Here is a 24,212-nt window from a genome sequence, read left to right as displayed (position 1 = left end):
AATGGAATTTAATTATTAATCAAAAATACATGAATGAAATGATATCATGGTAGCCAGAGTAAGCCTATCAAAAGTCATAAAGGCAAATAGTTAAAGACCACAACCAGTTACAGAGTCATTCCAAGAACTGTTGCAACCTGTAAGTAAACAGCACAGACTCTACATGCCAGGGGTTGGCAAACTTTTTCTGTAAAGGTCCAGATAGTAAATATTTAAAGCTTTGCAGGCCATGAGGCCTCTGTCTAGTCAACTCTGCCATTGAGGGTCAAAAGCAGCCACAGACAATATATAAATGAATGAACGTGGCCATGTTTCAATGGAATTTTATTTACGGATACTGAAATGTGAATTTCACAAGATTTTCACACAGGAAATATATTTTTTTTCAATCACATAAAAATGTTAAAAAAAAAAAAACAACACACACTATTAGCTCTCAGGCTGAAAAAAAAAAAAAACAGTGGACTGGATTTGGCCTGTGGACCACAGTTTCCAGCCCCTTCACCACACATCTGTAACACCGGCACAGGTCAGTACCGCCAGAAGCAAAGCTCTGAGAACTAACATCCTGACCCATGGGAAAGGATTCATTGTGGTCAAAGTAATTCTTAGATCATAACTGCCCCAAAATAGGAAAGATCAAGCAGCTAACACTTTTTCATTGTTGTTGTTGTTTTGAGACAGAGTCTTGCTCTGTCGCCCAGACTGGAGTGCAGTGGCACAACCTTGGCTCACTGCAACCTCCACCTCCAGAGTTCAAGCAATTCTCCTGCGTCAGCCTCCCAAGTAGCTGGGATTACAGGCGTGCACCACCACACCCAGCTAGTTTTTGTATTTTTAGTGGAGACAGGATTTTGCCATGTTGGCCAGGCTGGTCTCGAACTCCTGACCTCAAGTGATCTGCCCACTATGGCCTTCCAAAGTGCTGGGATTACAGGCATGAGTCACCGTGCCCGACATTATAGCTAACACATTTGTTAATTACGTTTTCTTTTTTCTTTTTTTTTTTTTTTTCTGAGATGGAGTTTCACCCTTGTTGCCCAGGCTGGAGTGCAGTGGCGTGATCTCCGCTCACTGCAACCTCCACCTCCTGGGTTCAAGTGATTCTCCTTCCTCAGCCTCCAAAGTAGCTGGGATTACAGGCATGTGCCACCACGCCCAGCTAATTTTTGTATTTTTAGTAGAGACAGGGTTTCGCCATCTTGGCCAGGCTGGTCTCAAACTCCTGATCTCAGGTGATCCACCCACCTCGGCCTCCCAAAGTGTTGGGATTACAGGCGTGAGCCACCACACCAGGCCGCTAATTATGTTTTCATTTCCCCTGATTAAAAAGATTCTGCTTTAAGCTTGTTGACTTCAAGAGGTTTCAGTATAAACCTTATGTAGACTTTCTCTACCCAAAAGTAAAATTATTCTACTTATAAAAATGAGTTGGGCCAGGTGCAGTGGCTCACGCCTGTAATCCCAGCTCTTTGGGAGGCCAAGGCGGGTGGATCACCTGAGGTTGGGAGTTCGAGACCAGCCTGACCAACATGGAAAAACCCCATCTCTACTAAAAATACAAAATTAGACAGGCATGGTGCTGCATGCCTATAATTCCAGCTACTCGGGAGGCTGACAGGAGAATCACTTGAATCCAGGAGATGGAGGTTGTGGTGAGCCAAGATTGCGCCATTGTACCCCAGCCTGGGCAACAAGAGCGAAACTCCAACTCAAAAAAAAAAGAGTTGAGACCATGTACTCTTTTAAGACCTATGTATCCGTAACTAATACAAAATGTGTCCAAACCTTTTAACAAAGTTATACATTTTATACTCCAATAATATGTAATGTAGCTTTTCAGCATTTATTTGCCTTTCCCTTTGCTTAATATCTGGTGATAAAACAGAAAATGGATTCTATGTCAGCATTCTTGTGGCGCAGATTCAAATCACCAGGTGGTATTTATTACATTTAGATTTCCATACTCCAATTCAACTATTGTAAATCAGAAATCATCATGATCCTTCAGCTGGGCGTGGTGGCGCACACCTGTAATCCCACCCAGCACTTTGAGAAGCCGAGGCGGGTGGCTCACTTGAGGTCAGGAGTTCGAGACCAGCCTAGCCAACATGGTGAAATCCTGTCTCTACTAAAAATACAAAAATTAGCCGGACATGTTGGTGCGTGCCTGTAATCCCAGCTACTCGGGGGGCTGAGGCAGGAGAAGCACTTGAACCTGGGAGGTGGAGGTTGCAGTGAGTCGAGATCACGCCACTGCACCCTAGCCTGGGCGACAGAGCAAGATTCCATCTCAAAAAATAAAAATTAAGAAAAAATAAAAAAGAAATCATGATCCTTAGTTTCACAAGTTTGCAAATATGGGGCTCACCAATAGGGAACTAGAGTTTAGAAGCCATTGTCTTTAATTCTTTAAACCGTGGCCAGGTGTTGTGGCTCATCCCTGTAATCCCAGCACTTCAGGAAGCCACGGTGAGTGAATTGCTTGAGCCCAGGAGTTCAAGACCAGCCTGGGCCACATGGCGAAACCAAAATTAGCCAGGTGTGGTGGCTCATGCCTGTGGTCCCAGCTACTCAGGAGGCTGAGGTAGAAAGAGCACTTGAGCCCAGAAGGCAGAGGTTGCAGTGAGTCCAGATGGCATCACTGCACACAGCCTTGGCAAAGAGTGAGACCCTGTCTCATAAAAGAAAAATAGTAATGGTTATGCACATTACTTAAAATGACCTATTTAAGGAATTCAGACATGTTACACGCAAAAATGATCACTGCTATAAGTATACATTGCATTGATAAAAGAGAAGCTGCCCTTGTTTTCAGATTTGTGTTTATATTGCATGTGTCCTAAGTGAGGGCGATCGTAGCGTACAGCTGGGCCAGCCGCCGTTGCATAAGTAAGGAAACTGGGTCCCCCTAGTGTTCAGTTCTCGTTAATGACTCTCTAAAGGTGCAGAACAAGAAAAGTGGCAAGAGAACTTACAACTTCCCTTTCCATGTAACAACTCACCCAAATCAAAACTACTTCAATGACTATCCATTTCCTACATGGAAAATTAGACGGGAAACCTGATGCCCAGAACATTTCACCAAATATTATTGAGAAAATACAGATTGTGGCCATGTATTTGTGTCATTTATATGCCTTTCCAGCAACTCAAGAACAAGCACGCTAACTTCCCTAACAACTTATACACCCTAGAATTCAACCAAAACTTTAAGCACCCTCTCTGCACTGGCACCTCCCATTCTTAGTCCCAACTTTGTCCCTGAGCTCCTGATTTATATCTGCCCGCATGGCAGGGCATGGATATAAAACTAGGCATCTTCTACTTAAAGTGTCCTCAGCAGAACTCTGGATCATCCTCCTCAAACCCACTCCTCCACACATCCAATCGGCTCTCCTTTCTAAATATATCCAGGAGCTGACTGCTTCTGCCAACTGCACCAGGACCCTTGATCCAAGCCAATATCATCTTAGCTGGATTATTACAGTAGTCTTCTAGCTGGCCTGCCTGCTTCCACTCTTGGAACACGCCACCCCCACCTTAATTTTCCATACAGCAGCCACAGTAATCCTCTTACAGCACAAGTCTGAACTAAATCCTTAGCAATGGGCCCTGCATGAACTGCCTGATGGATACTATTACTTTTCCCTCTGCTCCTGCTACACTAGCCTCACTGGCTCTTTTTCTGGGGGGGTTGGGGGGGCAGTCTCGCTCTGTCGCCCAGGTTGGAGTGCAGTGGTGCAATCTTGGCTCACTGCAACCTCCGCCTCCCAGGCTCAAGCAATTCTCCTGCCTCAGCCTCCCGAGTAGCTGGGACTACAGGCGCCCGCCACCACACCTGGCTAATTTTTTGTATTTTTAGTAGACACGGAGTTTCACCGTGTTAGCCAGGATGGTCTCGATCTCCTGACATCGTGATCCGCCGACCTCAGCCTCCCAAAGTGCTGGGAATTCAGGCGTGAGCCACTACGCCCGGCCCTTTCTTTTTTTTTTTTTTGTTTGTTTTCGTTTGAGATGGAGTTTTGCTCTTGTCACCCACGCTGGAGTGCAATGGCACAATCTCGCCTCACTGCAACCTCCGCCTCCAGGTTCAAGCAATTCTCCTGCCTGAGCCTCCTGAGTAGCTGAGATTACAGGCACCCGCCACCACACCCAGCTCATTTTTTTTTTGTATTTTTAGTAGAGATGGGGTTTCGTCATGTTGGCCAGGCTGGTCTCGAACTCCTGACCTAGGTGATCTACCTGCTTCAGCCTCCCAAAGTGCTGGGATTACAGGTGTGAGCCACCACGCCCAGCCTCTCTTACTGTTTCTGGAATTGTTCTTACTGTTGCAAGCTTCAGGCCTTAGCATTTGTGGTTTCCTTTGCTTGGTACTCCCTTCCCTGAGATGTGTATGCAGTGTGACCCTTCAATTTGATCACTTCCAAATGCCACCTCCCTAGGGAGGCATTCCTGTCTATCCTATTCAAAATGGTACTTGTTTCTATCCATTTACTTTGCTGTTATTAGGTTATAACAGCATCCACTTTGGGAGGCTAAGGTGGGCAGATTGCTTGAGCCTGGGAGTTTGAGACTAGCCTGGTCAACATGGTAAAACCCCTCTCTACAAAAACTACAAAAATTAGCCAGGCATGGTGGCACATGCCTGTACTCCCAGCTACGTGGGAAGCTGAGGCGGGAGGACCACTTGAGCCCAGGAGGCAGAAGATATAGTGAGCCAAGATCACACCACTGCACTCTAGCCTGGGTGACAGGACAAGACTCTGTCTCAAAAAAATAAATAAAATAAAATAAAGCATCTGTTTACTCCTTGACTCTCTGTCTCATCCACTAGTGTATTAGGGTAGGAGTTCTTTGTTCACTGCTGTATTCCCAAGGCTTTGAGCAGGGCCTGGCACCCAGTAGGCGGTGCTCCATGAATATTGTTGAATGAAAAAATACATGAATGAATGAATGAGTTATAGACTTTTTTCCCTTTAGTTACACAAGAGAAAAAAAATGTTATCTATTGACAGTTACAGTTCAAGAGAGTCTGTGCTGCTACGAAACAGCTGGATAACCATAGGACACTGAAAGCACTGTGCTGAGAACCCACCGGCTCAGCATCTGAGGATGGATGGGTCTCAGAGTGCCCAGCAGTAGTGTACTATATGGGTGGGTCAGTTGTAAAGAAGAAAAAACTGATCCATGAGCAGACACTAAAGAAAACAGTGGGATGAAATCAATACTGGGTTAAGTATGGAGGTCTGTGGGTTTTAACATACTGCCTCAATAGATTTTGTTTCAACTATTTTCCAGTAGACTTTTTTTTTCCATAATGCTTTCTTTTAATGCCTCAACTAGTCGGAAGAGCTTTACTAAATATTGCAACTCTTGGCCGGCCATGGTGGCTCACATCAGTAATCCCAGCACTTTGGGAGGCCAAGGCAGGCAGATTGCTTGAGCTCAGGAATCCAGACCAGCCTGGACAATGTGGAAAAAACCCCATCTCTAAAAAATAAAAATAAAAAAAATACACGGGGCATGGTGGTGCACACCTGTAATACCAGCTACTTGGGAGGCTGAGGTGGGAGGACCACTTGACCACGGGAGGTGGAGGCTCCAGTGAGCCGTGATCATGCCACTGCACTCCAGCCTGGGCAACAGAGCAAGACCCTATTTCAAAAATAAATAAATATTGCACCTCTCTTTTTTTGGTACTAAGGCAGAAGTATATAGACTGATTTCTCCAACTTTGAGCAACCCCAGATGACTCTACTTGAACAGAAAAGAAATTGACAGTTTAATCGTGTATAATCCCTTGTAAACAACCCGGGGGAAAAATGGTTAGGTTCTGGTTGGTGATATTTTACTTCAATGAGGTCATGCAGCACAGTGAAAACAACGAATAACTCAACATTAGGGAGACTTGGGATCTGATCCCATTTTTGCCATTGGTTAAACAACAAGCAAGTTTACTCGGCTGCTGCAGGCTTGTGTCCTCATGCATGAAATGGACTAAATAATCTCCACATTATTAATGCTTTACGACTCTGCTTTCCAAAAATGGAAATGCATTTGAAGACAATACCAGGCCCTTGAAAATGAAGACGGGAGGGTAAAAAACAAGCTGCAACAGAGAACAGTATCAAGCTTTTAAAGAAACAAGTTAACACCGAAGCCAGAGGCCTTTAATGTAGACATTAAACGGTGTCTACATACACCCTTTCAGCTTGAATGTCAACACCGGCTGTACTGACAGAAGATTTACATGACCTTTTCCTGAAATAAGCCTTCCTCTCCTAGTAACTCAATACCACGGGTACATTTTTCCAGGTACACTAGAGTTGGGTACTGGTCTAGAGCTGCACTGTCCAATACAATAGACACAAGCCACATGGGGCTGTTGAGCACTTGAAAATGTGGCCAGTTGGAAGTAAGATGTACTGCAAGTGTAACAAACACACGGGAATTTGAAGATGGTACAAAAAAAGGACATAAAACATTCAGCATTGATATTGATTGAAATAATATTTTGGATGCATTGGATTAAACAGAATATACTATTAAAATTAACTCCACCTGCTTCTTTATGCATTTGCTAATACGACTACTAGAAACATCAAGCTTACATATGTGGCTTGTATTATATTTTTGTTGGACGGTGCCACTCTAGATATCAGAATCTACAAAGTGACTGAGATTCAAACTCTTCAATGAAGCACTTTTTAAATGCTCTACTTGAGAATTAATTCCACTCACTGCTCTGCTGCCGTCGCGGTCCTGACTTTCCAAGGCTGTGCCCAGAGCGCGGCACACGTGGCTCTCACACAGGCAGGCCTGCACGGCACGCAGCAGTGGAGGAGGTTACCCTGGGTCGCTGACGCCAGGGGAAGCCAAGCGACCGATCCCACACTTCTGAGCCCCGCCGGGGAAGTCCCCGGGCGCGGAAACAGGTGGTGCGCCGGCGGTTCGCAGCTGCTGGGCCCGCCGGCCTGGGCGCAGCCGGGGACAGCGACGCGTTTCCTGCCCGGGAAGGGCCCGAGCGCAGGGCCGGCTATAGCGGTCCCGCAGCTGCCTGCTTCGATTTTAGCACTGCTGCTCCCAAGAGGGAGCAACGCGGCCCTCTGTCCCTCGTAGGGCTTGAAATGTAAATTATTCATATCAGGGGAATGTGTGCTTCAAAAAGCAAGCTGGACAAGAACCGACGGGTAATCCTCGACAAATTCTTCTACTTAACCCTCACCATTAGAAGTCTGAGGCCTGAAAAATCTCTTGACCGGAGAGATACTAACTCCACAGGTGCCCAGGATCAGGATCTATGACATAAATGAAAAACATTCCAAATTCACTGATTTTTAAGAGTATTTAGATAGTAGAAAATTATTAATTCTCTTTATTAGCTCAATACTTTGTTCAGCCAGCATTTGCAGAGCAAAATCTGCGTGGATTTATTTAGTGAAAATTATCTTTTAAAACCACAAAGATTTAACCATAGTACATAAAATTTAGTTGCAGTAAGCAAATTATATTTTTAAGCTGAACCCTAAGAAATTATCCAAAAATATATAGTTATACACAGCACTTATGATTGCTGAACAAATGAATCATATAAAATTTATGTTTAGTTCAATTTTTAGCAAGAGTGAATGACTTCTTAGATGATTTTTCTCCTAGTCTCATAGTGCAGTGTAGACACAAATGGACCTTATTTATTCAACTAGGCAAATCTTAGTTCAAAAGAGTTTGTGACAAAGGCTGACCTACAGGACTAAAACCGTGCTTGCCTTGTAGGAAAATAAAAAAAAATGTAATCGAATGGACAATAATTTTTTAAATACATTATTCAAGGAGGAATAAGCCCTGTAACAGAATCCATAAAACACCATGCTCCATCAGTCTCTTTTTCCTAATAGAATGACCAAGTATTCTCTCCAATTAATTTTAATAGCAAACCACCATTTTCTAAAATGACTTAAATGGGTTCAATCAAGTAGAATGACTCCAAGGGAAACCACTGACTCAGATATGAAATGTGCCTTACATCATACTCCATACATCAAAGACTATACTTTCAGGGATCATTTCTATACTTTGTTACATCATACTGCATACATCAAACAATGAAGAATCCAGGTTTCAAATTACAAATACATATATACCTTTAAGTCTTACCCTCAAGGTAAGATAGGAAAGTGGGAAATGCTGTCTGCTCACTGATATTCCATAAAATATTCACTGTAATTTCTGGATTTCCAAGATACATCTATCTAGCAGAGGTGGTTTGTCAAGTCTGAGCTTTTCCACCTGTCCACCCCCGTAGCAATGGGGCTGATGTTCACACCCTGCAGACCATCATCAGCATTCATGGCACCCCGACAGATAACCCCATTAAACTCTCTCCCTGACTCAGGTAAACACTTCACAATGTAATGTGAGGAGGACATTATTACTGAAATAAACCTGAAAGCCGCTCTAAATCTATAGAAAAAGTGCAACACTCACAAATATAAATACCATTACACACTATTTGTAAGATCCCTCATAAATGACTATGTTATAGCTGAGACCTGCAGCGGAACTCCCACCACCAAATGTTGTGGTAGTGTAAGGACCATTGTTATTTTCACTTGCAAATATTCCTGATAGGTCATATTTTAAGCTGCTAAAAACTGATACAAGCTGTTCATTCTTTCAGGGATAAGGTGACAACCAGCAAGAGAAAAAAACAAGGTAATGCACTTGAGACAGTAAGGTAGGCTCTCGGAAAAGGAGGGCTGTGGTGATCAGAGCCCACGGACGTCCAAAAATGTGACTTGGCTGGGCCTAAAAGAGGGGAGCGGCTCTTCTAAAAACAAAATCACCCCCTGGAAATTATGTTGGTTGGTTCCTTGGGGCATTGAACGGTTCTTTTTCAAGTTATTTACTTGCTCGTTACCGCCAGTCCCAGCTTTCTTGGGAGACCTAAACATATTTGGGGAATGGAAATAATGTGCTTGCTGCCACAGACCAGGCCAGTAAGATGAGAAGATAAAGAGTTTCTAGAGTTTTTATTATTCAAAATGAGTTTCATTTCAATTCAGGTACTTGAAAGAAGGTTCTAGTCTGTTACTTTGACACAGCACAAGATCAGTAGTTTATTCCAATGAAGTATTCCACCCAAATGAAAGCATAACATGCAAGTAGTTATTTATTTCAATCACTCCTATTTGAAGGTCCTCATTTTTGGAGAACAGCCAGGCATTTTATTATCCACTCTTTCCATTCCTTAAAGGCTTCCACGGGTTTCGGTAAATTCCCATTATCCTCGTGACTGTGTTCTGGAGTTGCTCCAGGTGTGTCAGAAGATTCATCATCAATCCACCTCACCAGTGCCTGGAAAAACATGAAAGATGCGCACTTCAACAAACCACAGCAAAATACCATCAGGCAAGAGAGAAGCATTGGCTTCTAGATCATAGGGTGACATATTACCCCATGAAGACGCTGCATTTGATAATGATGGTGTGAATATGAAATAATGCTAATGATATACTGAGTGAAATGGCACGTACCAAATACACACAGAATTACAAATGATGTCAAAAGTACGCACTGAAAAAAGATGAAAAAGAAATACACTCATTCTTACACTTTGTTTCTAGCATAATAGGATGTTATTTTTTCTCAACTTGCTAAATATTCCACAAGGCATTATATTACTTTGACATGTACGTATATACATATATAAGTGTCCACACAGGCATGGGTAGACATATGTATGTGAAAACACATGTGTAGACATTTCTGTGCAGTCACCTGAATGCAGTCATACCCATGAGTAGACACATGAATGTATATTGATGTTTGTGGGCAAGTGTGGGCACACACACACACATACTGAGATTAGGTACTTTCCTTCTTCCTTTTTAAAGAAAATCATTTTTTTCCTCCTAATGAACATCATACCTCTGTCCCATATTTGGAAAGGTAAATCCTGTCCACACACTTATAGGGTTTAAAAAATGAACTCTGCCACACATATCAATATTTATTCTGTTCTGCAAAGTCAAGCTCTCTTGCCCTAAATGGAAGAGAAGCAAAGAAACTTCTTCCACTATTTCTCATTGAACTGTAAGCATAAATCACTCAAAGGCAAGCTGAAGTTTTTAAGAAGAGCATTTCTTCACATTTTTAAACCGCAGCTTCCTGCTTATCTTTACACTAATTTCCTCTGATAAATTATAACTCCAGAGAAGGATATAATAGAAACATGGGTTTGCTACTCAGATAACCACTTCCCCCTCTTTAGACTGTCCACCCCCCAACTTACTTTGTATCTTTCTACAATGCTGAAGCCAACAGCACACTGCAACTTGTGCAAACAGATAGGGCAAAGGTTTAGAGGGCGCCGGTCAGCTTCTTCCAAGTGGTTGGAGCCTTGCATGAGGCATGCAAGCCACTGGCAGTGTCGCAGTCCAAATATGTGTCCGATCTCATGGGTTAAAGTCTGCAAGACAATCATGTTGAGGCTTTATAAGACCACCATCACATTAGGCTACACGTCTCTTCTTTTTCTTGCTTTTCCAAGAAACATAGGAATCAACTCCCTTACCATTACCACCAAAACTTCACCCTGTCCAGACCTTCAAAGACTTAATAATCCCTCATTTCCCCAAATGTCTTACTGCCTTTCTTGCTATAGACTTCCTCAACCTCAACATCGCTGACATGTTGGACCGATAATACCAGGTTGTGGGAGGCTGTCCTGTGCACTGTGCGATGCTTTGCAGCATCCCTGGCTCTACCCACTAGAGGCCAACAGAACTCCCTCCCTGATTGTGAAAATCAAAAATGTCTCCAGACGTTGCTAATATTCCCTGGATGGCAAAATCACCCCTGGCTGAGAACCCTTGATCTACACTAGGGTACTTGTTGTAATTCTGATTCTGGGGCTCTTCCCCTAGAGATGCTGATTTCAGTAGGTCTGGGAGAAAGGGGGCTTGATCTGCATGCTAATGAGAACATCAGGTGGCAATGACACAGGGGGCCCATGAAACACACTGTGAGAATGTAGTTCTCAGAGGTGTAGCTGTCAAACCCCAACAAATAGTACAGGTAAAAGCAGAATTTCTCTAGCTGAAGGAAAAGCCCATCTCTCTGGCTATGGAGAAAGGGGAGATAGGCTTTCCACAAAACCGAGTTGGGGATATCAGGAACTGCCAGGACAACTACAGTCGAGGGTAACCTGGAGCCCAGGGCAGGAAGGCCCAGGCTCCCAGAGAGGCCAGAGCAGAGGTTCTCCAAAGGCCTGGGGAAAGCAGCTTTGCCCAATGACCACAGTAGCTTGAAAAAGTAGGTTACCCACTCATACCAGAATTCAGAATTACACTAATAGCACATGGGTACAGCCAAGGCTGTAACTAGTAGTACAGAAAAACTGGCACTGATATTGTAAATTTCAATATGAAGGTATCCATTTAAATTGTTTTACTGATCATTTCAGTCAAGCACTATGCACCAAAATTATACAAATGATACAAACTCATTTATAATATTACCTTACGGACTGACAATATACAGTTTACGGAACTAAGATCTCTTTTAAAGAACTGTCCTGTCAGATTTTTGTAATAACTTACCTTACAGGATCGAAGTAGTAAAACACTAGTTATTTCTGGAATATAATAGTTGTCGAAAATTGAATAGTCACTTGAAGATGTTTTCTTGAGCTTCTTCACTTTGCCTTTATAGTGCATGCTATAAAAATCACTGCCATACCTGGCAAAGCTGAATATCCCCACACCTACAAAAAAAGGACAAACAGTGACAGAATGAGAGTAAGGTCCCTGAAGAAAGACCAAAGAAAGAAGAGACTGCTGGCCCATCTGGCCAGTGAGTGCATCTCTGTGTCACTGTGTCCACACCATCTGATACACTTATGGTTTGCCACCAAAAAGGAAGACTTTTGCCCCAGATTTCCCTATCAAAATCTTTTGCTGCTATCCACTTTGCCTTGCCTTGTAAAACTTAATGGACTTGAGGTCAAATGCTTGAGAAACTGAAGTTTCAGAGAGTCTTTTCCCACAAAAGAAGTCTTTTTCTGAAAGTAGCAAGTACTCCAAATCAAGTACTCAAAAAGGAATCATAAAAAATAACCACATGGGTTGGGCGTGGTGGCTCACGATTGTAATCCTAGGACTTTGGGAGGCCGAGGCAGGTGGATCACCTGATGTCAGAAGCTCAAGACCAGCCTGGCTAACATGGTGAAACCCTGTCTCTAAAAAAAATTAGCCAGGCATGATGGTAGGTGCCTGTAATCCCAGCTACTAGGGAGGCTGAGGCGGGAGAATGGCTTGAACCCATGAGGCGGAGTTGCAGTGAGCCAAGATCGCACCATTGCACTCCAGCCTGACGATAGAGTGATACTCAGTCTCAAAAAAAAAAAAATCACATGAACAATAGGAAGTCATGATTTCACTATTTAAGGACACACTAAACAGATCTGTTACACGTGTGTCTGGAGGGGTTGCTGGCCTTCCCTCACGCAGCACTGACTGAGGACAACTGCCCCTGATGTCTTGAAGCCCATGCTTTAAACCACGGCTTTTGACAGAATAACCTCGTCCCCTTCCCCAACCCTACCCCCTTTTCAAAGAACAGCTCAACTCTATTCTGTCACTAGTGTCTGGTGACCAGAATAAATACCCTTGTAACTGACTTCCTGTGTTACATTTAGAGTTATATCAACCATCTCTGCAAGCACAGAGAACACGGTTTGCTACATAACTCACCCTACAGGGTACTGCTTCATAATTCGACTTGTTTACATGATCACTTTTATTTATGTCTCTCGTTCAGTTTTTAAAGTAATAAACCCATAGTAGATTTGTCCAATCTAATTTGATTCAAAAACAAACTTCCTCACCTCCCTTTACCCAGAAAATGTAGACTGATATTTGAAAATTAAGCAAAGATAGCATTCTGGAAATTAAGAGCACACTAAATCTATTCCTTTATCACAAGTAACCCCCTCTGGCCAATCAAGTGTGAGCATATTTCACTACTTTCAGCAAGGACATTTCCTTCTTCCAATAATCCTACAAATAGACTATTTTTTTCGTAGTCAATGCGTCTCACTTTAAAAATATCAATCTTTGTAAACTCGGAGAAAACAAGACCACTGTGTTAAGATATTGTCACTGTCTAATCCTGCTACTTTCCTATGTAAATCTTTTATGTCATGTAATATTTAAGAAACTTACCAAAAAAAGAATTAAAGTAAATACAGTTTGGGGAAATGTTTCCTGACCTCCTCAAACACATAAGATAAGTTAGCTAGCAATATCTAGATAAACGAACATATGGTTTTAAAATTATTTTTTTAGCTGGGTGTGGTGACTCACACCTGTAATCAAAGCACTTTGGGAGGCTGAGATGGGAGGCTCGCTTGAGCCCAGGACTTCAAGATGAGCTTGACCAACACAGGGAGATCCCATCTGGCCAAAAAAAATCCCATCTGGCCAAAAATAAAATAAAATAAAATAGCCGGGTGTGGTGGTCCTGTGGTCCCAGCTACTCGGGAGGCTGAGGCAGGATGATCCCTTTAGCCCAGGAGGTTGAGGTTGCAGTGAGCCATGATCACACCACTGCACTCCAGCCTGGGTGACAGAGGGAGACTCTGTCTCAAAAGAAAAATAAAAGGTAGATAGAATTATTTTTCAATGTTTCCATCTCTATCAGGTTAATAATAAAAGAGAAAACTTATGATAAAAAGCTACCTCACACCACCAAAATCAGTAAGAAAGTAGTGACCCACGTCTCCAAGAGTGCATGCTGGTAGGGCCATGGGGGCCACAAGAAACCTCACATAAATGGAGAATAAAGAATAAAGGAGTAAGTGGGAAGAGGCTCTATAACCCTACAGCCCCCACCTCTAGTAGAAACATTTGTCCCAAAAAGCTTACCACCCCACACAAATCCTAAGGCTAATGTAACATCCAGACAGACCATAAACTCTCAGGATAGTCCCTGTACTTACTCCCCATCCCCAGAACACTAATGAACCACTCCCCTTAGGGGGCCTTTTCCCTTTCAAGTCTGTGTTGGATTCTTAGGGATGAAGTTAGAGAAATAAGAACAATAATTAAGGGGAGGGGAGAAGTAGAGAGATGACAAAAAAAAAAAAAGGTTAAAAATATGACCGGTTTGCAGAACCTTTCCCATCCCTAATATTACCATACAGAGTTCCTAATGAGTCAAGGTTTATTACATATCTCAAATCAAAGATGGACGTTTTGACTCTTTAAATTAAAAAACAAATGTCGTATGATGAGAAAGAAGCATACACTTAGTCTATGGCTATTCTAACTGTGCAAGATGACTATGAAAAGAATTGAAAAATAATTAGCAAGATTTTCACATCCATTGATAGCTCAAACTGTAATTGGTTTAATTCACCTTGCTACTGAATTACTGACATTTACTAGCTGTTATGCTGTATGCCTATATATATGCCAGGCCTATATATACATTTTTTTTTTGAGACACGGTCTCACTTTATTGCCCAGGCTGGAGTGCAGTGGCTCGATCATGGCTCACTGCAGCCTCAACCTCCTGGGCTCAAGCAATCCTCTCACCTCAGCCTCCTGCGTAGCTAGGACTACAGGTATGTGCCACCATGCCCAGCTAATTTAGTTTTTTAAATTTTTATTTTTTTGTAGACATGTGGTCTATGTTGTCCAGGCTTATCCACACTTTTTATGTACAGGCACTTTTATGTAAATTATCTCCAAATGACTCCATGATGTGGGTATTGTTACCTTTAAGGTCCTGTAGGTAGTGAGTGGCCAACCAGAACCTAGATTATCACAATCTACCAACAGCACACTTCCCATTATGGCATAATGTCTCAACTGAAAATATTTTAAATATCAATATGATTCTTGGTTGGAATTTTTTCCCTCTTCTAACATCTTCAAATATTCTCAAGCTGAAGAAGCTTCTAACAACAATGCCAAAAACGGAATACCATCTGTCAAAGAGGCCTGTCCAAAGACAAAATTCCACGAGTCTCTTGGGTAAAGATCAATCATTGTTATTCCCACAACACAGAAGGCATCTTCAGGTTTCTTCTTTTTCAAGAACTTCAGGATGTCCCCTATTTAAAAAGAAATACATAAATGTATGAGTGTATATTATATACATATACTCAGTTCGAATTGCAAAGTCGTGTAATTCACCTGCATGAATTTGTAGGTTGTGTGTGTTCTCATTGACTCTAAAGGAACATCTTGTTACAGAAACAGGAACTGGTTCTAGGAGTTTTACTCTCAAGCCATAGAAATATGCTTTACAGTAGCCCGTGAGCCATTTAATATATTCTTCACTGATAATTCTGGTGTTTCCTAGAGAGCCTACAATATGGAAGAACATTTAAAAACAGACTTTAAGATGATTATTCAGTGTTTACCCAGTCTATGAGTAAGAAGATTCAAATTAGAAACAAAACCAACTCTAAATTTTCAATAACCTTTATCATTCATTGGTGTTGCTATGAAACAAAAAGAAACAAAATGTTATCTTTTAAGTCAGTTTGGCTACAAAACTTGTACCGCCGCAATGAATATCAAAAACGATCCTAAAACGGCCCATCTGAATCAGACCCATAGCCTGGACTATTCCTGACAAGAGCGCCACTGCAAAACTGAACCAAAACCAGCACATTACCAGTATTTACCAATGGACTGTATATAAATGCTGCGTTTGTTTGGAGAGGGTGTCTTTCTGTAAGGATCACTGAAGAACTGTTCAAAGTCTTGGGGAGCCTCAGGGTGGGAGGTGATCCAATCTGATGGAGAATGCAAGGTAATGGGTCCAAAGAGATCACTGGCTGGCTGGAAGGCTTCATTCATTAAACGTTGTTCCCCAGCATTTAATTTCTCATACTGTGATACAAGCACTGGGTTCTTTGAGATGAGAGCTGTTTTTAGTGTCTGTTCGGAGTGCCGTATTATTTGCATCTAACAAAAAAAAGCAAGTAATCAAATATAAAAATACATATCTACATTGGGGACTTTACCTATCCTCTATATTTCAGCTCTGATTTCTCCCTAGAGTGAAATGACTGATTGCTAATGCTTTAGAGTGGTCACACTTAGAGTGGTTTCCTCATGTCCAATTTCTTGGAGATCTAAGAAATTAAAAAGACAATCATGAAATCCATTCCTCCATCTCATATGGAACCTGCTCCCATTACAAAAACTAGTGGTGGCCAGGTGTGGTGGCTCATGCCTGTAATTTCAGCACTTTGGGATAGGAGGATTGCTTGAGGCCAGGAGTTTGAGAACAGCTCAGGCAACATGGTGAGACCCTGTCTCTACAAAAAATTTAAAAATTCCCTGGGCATAGTTGTGCACATCTGTGGTCCTAGCTACCAGGGAGGCTGAGACAGGAGAATCACTTGAGCCCAGGAGCTTGAGGCTGCAGTGAGCCATGACTGTGCCACTGCACTCCAGCCTGGGCAAGAGTCCAAAACAAAAAAAAAAAACCTCACGGTGACCACAGGAGCAGGACCTCACACCCAACTTCCTTCTTTTGGGGAATAATATTGGCCTGGCACAGTGGCTCACGCTTATAATCCCAGCACTTTGGGAGGCCAAGGCAGAAGGATTACTTGAGCCTAGGAGTCTGAAATCAGCTTCGACATCATGGCAAAACCCCATATCTACAAAAAAATTAGCCGGATGTGGTGATGTGCACTTGTAGTCCCAGCTACTTGGCAGGCTAAGATGGGAGGATCATCTGAGCCCAGGAGGTCGAGGCTGCAGTGGGCCGTGATCGTGCCACTGCAGTCCAGCCTGGGCAATAGAGACTCTGTCTCAAAAAATAATAATATGAATTAACTCATCAGTGCCACATGAAAAATACTCATCGTTTCTAATGTGACTCAAAGATCTTCAACATCAAATAAAAACAAAACTAATGTAAGCCCTATCATTTCTGCAATTTAACTGCAGGCTGAGAAACTACAGCTTAGCCACTGAAGTTTATGGCCTCAAAGTCATGTCACATTAGGGAAGACATCAGATGACTAATCAAAAGCCAGCCTCACAATGACAGGTTTCTTCCATTCACATCGTGTTCCTATATAGAGCTTTCATCCTTCCTCTTGAATGGGTCCGATGTTCCACCACGAGGCTTTTTGAATTAAGGAAAAAGTTGAACATCTCTGTCTGGATCATCTTTGTCATATTTTCTAATTATTTAGATTTTGCCAGTTTAATGATAGACGATTGATGGGAAAACTTAAGCTAATGTCTGTTCTGATTGAACCTATAAATTCTGGGGTTGAAGAGGCTGACTAAAATTCCAGACCAAATGTCTCTGTACTCAAAGCTCTGATATAAGCATAGGCTCATCCTCACTCCTACACAACTGGGCTGAAATCTGACTTCTACAGGACAAAATATAAAACAAGATGTACCTTCCTGTAGTCTACCTACCTTGATTAGGAAGGAAGGCTCCCATGGAAGCTTTTAACTTACAAGGACGGACATGTCTGGGCCTGGCTGGAAGAAAGTTGTGGAGTGTGACTTCATCTTAATATTAAAAAGGCAGTGTGAAAGGTCAGGAGGCCTCCTCTTGCCTCCCAAGCCTAATCTAGGGAAGCTGCGGGAGAAGATGGGCAGGGGGCGCAGAATTCGGTCACTGCAGTGGGCTGGAGGCCTAGGATGCTTTGGTCCCAAAACCAGAACATCACGGGCAAACGGGAAGGAGCTGGCCACCCTGGCTGGTTGCCTATAGCAACTCGCACTGTGGGCTCTGGTCCATGCAGACACAACCCAGTCTCCAGCTGGGAGTGGAGTGGGGGTTCCCCAGGGACTCTCGCTTCGCCTCTTCTTCCCCAGGAGCCTCGGGAAAGGCCTCCCTGGCTCCCTAGAGGCACCGACCCCGCGGACCCCGCGGCTTCCGCCACGTCCGCCCCTCCTACATCCTCATCCCGCTCCACCGACCGCGACCGGCCCCCGCCTCTACGACCCGGCTACCCTGCCTAGGGGCCCCGGCCCAGCTCTGACAGCACCCGCGAACCGCCCTGACCCGACAGGCCTCGATACCACCCACCCGCGGCAGCCCTCACGCGCATGCGCACCGCGTCCCTTCGCACTGCGCCACGCCACGCCCACTGGCGCCACGCCCCTTACGCCACGCGCCGCGCCGCTGCGTCGCGCACGCCCTGTGGGCCCCGCCCAACTCACGACCCACCCATGCCACGCCCCTGAGCGTGCGGCCGCCTGGGCAGGCGCAGAGCTGGAGTTCAGCGGCCGCGACCCGCCTCTTCCAGAATAGAGGGTAGCGAGGGGACTACAAGCCCCAGCTGTCCACCCCCGCAGTCGCCGATTCCTCGCTTGCGCTCGCGGCGGCTCCGCGGCCCGGTTCTCGAGAGCCACAGATGCGCCCGCGTCGCTGGGGTCTCCCGTGTGGGAACGTCCTCGGCAGGCCGCGGGTTTGAGAGGCATCGCCGGCGTGACGAATGCAACCAGCGTGGCCCCAAATGAGTCGGCGGCCGCCGCAGGTTGACGTAGAGCCGCAGCGCTCCCCGGGGCCGTCACCCTCAGCACTTTCCCTTCTTTATTTGTTGGGGGCCGCGGGGGCTGGAACCCAGAAGCGCAAGTGTGGGGCGCGTCCTCGTGGCGTCCCTGGCGCTCCGAGGCCGAAACCCGGATGCTGAGGGGAGGCCGTGAGCTCGGAAAGGCACCGCGGGGCCGGCATTAGGGCTGAGCTAGCTCTGTACCCTCTGGTGGGACTTTCGGTCTCTCTGGGCCTCGCCATTCTCTTTCTTTTTCTTGCTTTTTTTTTTTTTTTTTTTTTTTTGGAGACGGAGTCTTGCTCTGTTGCCCAGGCTGGAGTGCAGTGGGACAGTCTGGGCTCAGTGCAACCTTTGCCTCCTGGGTTCAAGCGATTTTCCCGCCTCAGCCTCCCCAGTAGCTGGAACTACAGGTGCCCGCTATCACGTCCGGCTAATTTTTGTTATTTTTAGTAGAGATGGGGTTTCACCATGTTGGCCAGGCTGGTCTCGAACTCCTGACCTCAAGTGATCCGCCCGCCTTGGCCTCCCAAAGTGCTGGGATTACAGGCGTGGGCCACCGCGCCCGGCTTTTTTTTTTTTAATACGGGTTTTCACCCTGTTACCCAGGCTGGTCTCGAACTCCTGCGCTCAGGTGATCCACCCCCCCGCACCCCGGTCTCCCACAGTGCTGGAATTACAGGCGTGAGCCACGGCGCCCGGCCTGTTATTTTGAAGTCAAGCTATTTTACCATCCTCTGGATTTTCGTCATCCTAATTCTCCTTCCCAGTCTCAAGGAAAGACAGGCACATTTTCTTGATGACTTCAGCATTTGTAACCCCTTGTTGGCTCTCCTTAGAGGACATTAACTCTGAACCTTTCAACTTCGAGGATCTCTTTAGCCCTTCCTTATTTGTTCACTCTCCTGGATCATGAATTCTCCAAATTTGTCCTTTGAACCCAGTGCCCATATCCACCCTCACCTGAACCCATTCTTGAATAAAATGCATTCCTACCATGACTGTTCTCAAAGTTTGAAGTTGAGAATACCGATGCGCCACTCCTGCTTCAATGCTTGAGAAGTCGTGGGCTTTCTTCCATGTGCCTTTTGACTGGGCGCCTATCTCCCGACAGCCTGAGGTGGTGTAGCATAGGGGCGAAGGTGGTCTGTGCTTGAATCCCAAAACCCTCACTAGCGTGGGACCTGTGTCAACTACTTGACCTCTTTTGTAAAACGGAGACAATTACAGCACATCTTTTTTTATTATTATTACTTGACACGAAGTCTCGCTCTGTCATCCAGACTGGAGTGCAGTGGTGCGATCTCGGCTCACTGCAACTTATGCTTCCTGGGTTCAAGCGATTCTCGTGCCTCAGTCTACAGAGTAGCTGGGACTACAGGCACACACCACCACGCCCGGCTAATTTTTTTTTTTTTTTTTTTTTTTGTATTTTTAGTAGAGACAGGGTTTCGTCATGTTAGCCAATTTTTGTATTTTTAGTAGAGACGGGGTTTCACCATGTTGGCCAGGCTGGTCTTGAACTCCTGACCTCAGGTGATCCACCTACTTCGGCCTCCCAAAGTGCAGGGATTACAGGCGTGAGCCACCGCGCCCCACCTACAGCACATCTTAACAGAATTTTAGGGATCAAATGAGTTCCTTTGGATACTGTGCCTGTTTTTGACTGAACAGCTGTCTTCTGACATCCTGAGTGGCTTCTTTAGCTTAGTTGTCACCTCTTCTATAGCCTCATCCTGCCTCATGACAAAACTTTACTTCTGCCTGTTCATTGCCTTGTGTGTACATAATAATACTGCAGTTGTCCTTGTCACAATGATTGTAACCTATTTCTTACATGTCACCCTTACTCAACTGCGAGATGCTTGAGGGTAAAGACTCTCTATACGAGGTGTCTGAAGCATAAAAGGTATTCACTAGATTTTCAGTCAGTTTTTTGGTATTCATTAAAAAGAACTTCATTTTGCGTTTAAACTGTTTAAATTTCTAAATCATGAACTTTGTACTTGCTCACAAATTTTAGGATAGCATTATTTCTGCATGGTCTAATATTTATTTTCTTAAATAACTGACCAGGCATGGTGTCTCATGCCTATGATCCCAGCACTTTGGGAGGCTGAGACAGGAGAAAGGAGAATCACTTGAGCCTAGGACTTCCAGACCAGCCTGGTCAACATAGGGAGACCCCATCTCTAAAAAAAAAGAAAAAAGAAAAAAAAAAAGCCAGGTGTAGTGACACATGCCTGTAGTCTCAGCTACTTGGGAGGCAGAGGTGGGAGGATGGGTTGAGCCTAGGAGATCGAGGCTGCAGTCAGCTGTGATTCACAGCACTTCAGCCTGGGCAACAGAGTGAGACCCTGTTCAAAAAAATAAACAAATAAACACCTTAGTGCTTCGGGGGGGTTAGGTTTTTTTTTTTTTTTACATTAGAAGGAAAAGACACTTTCTCTTACTAAGGTATTTTTGCCTGTTAACTAATATGCAGTTGCAGAATGAACCATAGTCTGTCTGCATTTCAAAGAGCACTACAAGTTCTGATATTTAAAATGAGTGTATATGCCAGTGGCCCAAGGTTGGAGAAGAAAGTTGGTAACAAATTGGAAGGTGGCAGAAAGCAGGAAAGAAATGTAACATATATGGCAGATGAAGGGTTTTAAAATAGCTTTTACAAATCAGCACAGAAAAGATAAACACCATGACATAAAAATGAGCAAAAAATATGAACCATATAACCCGAATGGTCCATTAACATCCATGTGTTCAACTTTACTGAACACATGAATGAAATAAAATAAAAAACACTAATAATTTTTTCTTACCTGCTAATTTGGCCAAGCTGTTTGTTTTGAAATAATTTCTAGCTAAAAGAAAAGTGGCAAAAGTAGTATAAAGAATCCCTGCATTCTCTTCACCCAGATTCCCCAGTACTTAACATTTTACCTCATTTCTTTATCATTCTCATCCTTTTTGTGTCTTTATCTCTGTCTCTATATGAAAATATACATTGTTTTCCTGAACCATTTGAGAGTAAATTACAGGCTGGGCGAGGTGGCTCATGCCTGTAATCCCAGCACTTTGGGAGGCTGAGGTGGGTTGATCACTTGAGGTCAGGAGTTTGAGACCAGCCAGGCCAAAACGGTGAAACCCCGTCTCTACTAAATATACAAAAATTAGTGGGTCATGGTGTTGCATGCCTGTAATCCCAGCTACTTGGGAGGCTGAGGCAGGAGAATTGCTTGAACCCAGGAGGCGGAGGTTGCAGTGAGCTGAGATGACATCACTGCACTCCAGCCTGGGCAACAGAGCAAGACTGTCTCCAAAAAAAAGTAAATTGTAGACATGATGCCCTGCACTCCAAAATATCTCAGAGTATATTCCCAAAAATCAAGCACAGTTCATAAGTAGCCACAGTACAACTAAAACATGAGTCCATACTGACATTTTCAATACCAGTCCAGCCTGACACCACAGAGTTCATTCATTCTAGCCTTCCATTTTTCCATATGTATGATGTCCTTTGCCAGTAGAGAGAAACCTGGCTCCTGTTATTCACAATTTATTTATTTGCTCTGTACTAGAATATGTACTAAAAATAATTTCAGAATTCCTAATCCATAGCACTGCAGGAAAACAATTCTACCAATTAGTATTTATTTAAGGTTCTTTATAGCCAGAAGATATATATTAAAACCCAGTTACCTACCTGGGTTAGTTCTTCCCCCTCCCAATTCTGCCCTTCACTGTAGTATTGTTATTAACATGAAATATAGTTAGGTTCATTTATTTTTGTTTGCATTCCATTTTACGAATTTCCCCCCAACCTTGATCTTTTTTTGAATGTGTGATATATTAACATGGTTACTAAAAAGTTGTCTTTGATGATAATGTCCAATGATGGTAGATTGTCCTGGCAGAACGGTGTATAAACAGGTCGAATCTTTCTGGTGAACAACCTGACATGGAGTATTAATAGCTTTTAAAATGTTCATACCTATTGACCCAATAAGAGATCTCACAGACTTATGGTTAAGGATAGTCACCAAAATATTATTTATAATTATGAAAATTAGAAACAATCAAAGTATCCAGCTATTGGAGACTGGAAAAGCATAAATTATTAATCATAGACCATAAATTACATGTATGTTCATATGTTAGAATACTAAGCATCTATTTAAAATCATTTCTCAGCTGGGCACAGTGGCTCATGCCTGTAATCCCAGCACTTTGGGAGGCCAAGGCAGGCTGATTACCTGAGGTCAGGAGTTTGAGACCAGCCTGGCCAACATGGTGAAACCTCATCTCTACTAAAAATACAACAATTAGCCAGGCATGGTGGCACATGCTTGTAGTTCCAGCTACTTAGGAGGCTGAGGCAGGAGAATTGCTTGAACCCGGGAGACGGAGGTTGCAGTGAGCTGTGGTCCCACCACTACACTCCAGCCTGGGTGACAGAGCAAGATTGTCTCAAAAAAAAAAAATCATTTCTCAAAGACAATAGTGACCTACAGAAATGCTAAGGGGAAATAAAGTGTGACACAGAAATGTTTACACATTGTAATTTTTTTTTTTTTTTTTTTGAGACAGAGCCTCACTCTTTCACCCAGGCTGGAGTACAGTAGTGTGATCACGGCTCACTGCAGCCTGGACCTCTTGGGATCAGGTGATCCTCCCACCTCAGTCTCCCAGGTAGCTTGGATTACAGGTATGCACCATCACACCTGGCTAATGTTTTGTGTTTTTTTGTAGAGAGGGGGTTTCACCATGTTGCCCAGGCTTGTTTTGGTTTTGAACTCCTGGGCTCAAGACATCTGCATGCCTCCACCTTCCAAAGTGCTGGGATTATAGGCATGAGCCACCCTGCCTGGCCTATACATTGTAATCTTATTTTTGTTTTAAAAATATGTGCTTGGTTGGGCACGGTGGCTCATGCCTGTAATCCCAGAACTTTGGGAAGCTGAGGCAGGCAGATCATCTGAGGTCAGGGGTTTGAGTCCTGCCTGGCCAACAAGGTGAAACCCCATCTCTACTAAAAAATACAGAAATTAGCTGGGCATGGTAGCACACGCCTGTAATCCCAGCTACTCGGGAGGCTGAGGCATGAGAATCACTTGAACCTGGGAGGTGGAGGTTGCAGTGAGCCGAGATCGCGCCACTGCCCTCGCTCTGTGTCAAAAAAAAAGTGCTGATAAATAATAATCTATGAATAATGAGATATTTGGTGGTTTTGATTTTTCTCTGTCCCTCTTTAGTTATTAATTTGCATTTTCCAAACTTTCTACAATAAGTATTATTACTTTTACAGTCAGAAAACAATTTAACAAGTCAGTAATGTATTAATATTTAGGCATTCCTAAATATACAAATGACCCTGAGGCATAACAGCTTCTCCATGCTTTCTAGGTGGTTCCCTGCCTCTGTCTTTCCGCCTACCCTTTCAGCTGCTCCTCAATCTATTTTTCTATGGTCTCTGAATTTTACTTACACCAACATACCACTAACTAGAGATTCATTTAGATTAACAACCAAGCCATCCTTTGTCTTCCTAATTTGTTGACTTTATTTTAAAATTACTATATGGACCGGGTGCAATGGCTCACGCCTGTAATCCCAGCACTTTGGGAGCCTGAGGCAGGCGGATCACTTAGGTCAGGAGTTTGAGACC

General features: G+C 43.7%; 2 protein-coding genes across 41 annotated transcripts in view, besides 4 other annotated features; both read right to left on the bottom strand.

Moving 5' to 3' along the window:
• Positions 1-7,001, bottom strand: part of ARSG (arylsulfatase G) — a 192,850-nt gene extending 185,849 nt beyond the window's left edge. For all 11 annotated transcript variants that reach the window (XM_047435644.1, XM_047435647.1, XM_047435645.1 and 8 more), the window contains exon 1: positions 6,745-7,001. The gene's annotated coding sequence lies outside the window, so the exon portion shown is untranslated. The remainder of the gene's footprint in view (positions 1-6,744) is intronic.
• The window catches only part of AMZ2 (archaelysin family metallopeptidase 2), a 51,036-nt gene continuing 35,830 nt past the window's right edge, over positions 9,007-24,212 (bottom strand). For 2 of the 30 annotated variants that reach the window (NM_001346473.1, XM_047436210.1), the window contains exons 2-8: positions 17,466-17,531; positions 15,701-15,983; positions 15,204-15,377; positions 14,993-15,121; positions 11,604-11,767; positions 10,295-10,471; positions 9,007-9,357 (exon numbers count right to left, since the gene is read on the bottom strand). In NM_001346473.1, coding sequence (NP_001333402.1) covers positions 9,202-9,357; positions 10,295-10,471; positions 11,604-11,767; positions 14,993-15,121; positions 15,204-15,377; positions 15,701-15,983 — 1,083 coding nt within the window. In that variant the 5' untranslated portion in view covers positions 17,466-17,531 and the 3' untranslated portion in view covers positions 9,007-9,201. Of the gene's footprint in view, positions 9,358-10,294; positions 10,472-11,603; positions 11,768-14,783; positions 15,122-15,203; positions 15,378-15,690; positions 15,986-17,465; positions 18,168-18,225; positions 18,518-24,212 lie in introns of those variants that run through there. The other 28 variants (NM_001346472.1, NM_001346471.1, NM_001033571.1 and 25 more) reach the window with 27 other exon arrangements.
• Positions 16,643-16,692: a silencer, noted in NCBI's record as "silent region_8898". NCBI's record gives its function as "represses an Ori minimal core promoter by ATAC-STARR-seq in GM12878 lymphoblastoid cells {active_cell/tissue: GM12878}" and the evidence as "EXISTENCE:reporter gene assay evidence [ECO:0000049][PMID:35858748]".
• Positions 18,002-18,301: a silencer, noted in NCBI's record as "silent region_8897". NCBI's record gives its function as "represses an Ori minimal core promoter by ATAC-STARR-seq in GM12878 lymphoblastoid cells {active_cell/tissue: GM12878}" and the evidence as "EXISTENCE:reporter gene assay evidence [ECO:0000049][PMID:35858748]".
• Positions 18,516-19,061: an enhancer, noted in NCBI's record as "H3K27ac-H3K4me1 hESC enhancer chr17:66243251-66243796 (GRCh37/hg19 assembly coordinates)". NCBI's record gives its function as "activates a minimal SCP1, AML or CMV promoter by ChIP-STARR-seq in primed H9 embryonic stem cells {active_cell/tissue: H9 hESC(primed)}" and the evidence as "EXISTENCE:reporter gene assay evidence [ECO:0000049][PMID:30033119]".
• Positions 19,062-19,608: an enhancer, noted in NCBI's record as "H3K4me1 hESC enhancer chr17:66242704-66243250 (GRCh37/hg19 assembly coordinates)". NCBI's record gives its function as "activates a minimal SCP1, AML or CMV promoter by ChIP-STARR-seq in primed H9 embryonic stem cells {active_cell/tissue: H9 hESC(primed)}" and the evidence as "EXISTENCE:reporter gene assay evidence [ECO:0000049][PMID:30033119]".

Source organism: Homo sapiens, chromosome 17, assembly GCF_000001405.40.
Source record: "Homo sapiens chromosome 17, GRCh38.p14 Primary Assembly".
Taxonomy (NCBI): domain Eukaryota; kingdom Metazoa; phylum Chordata; class Mammalia; order Primates; family Hominidae; genus Homo; species Homo sapiens.
Note: the sequence above shows the minus strand (reverse complement) of the source record. Positions and strands in the feature narration are given on the sequence as shown.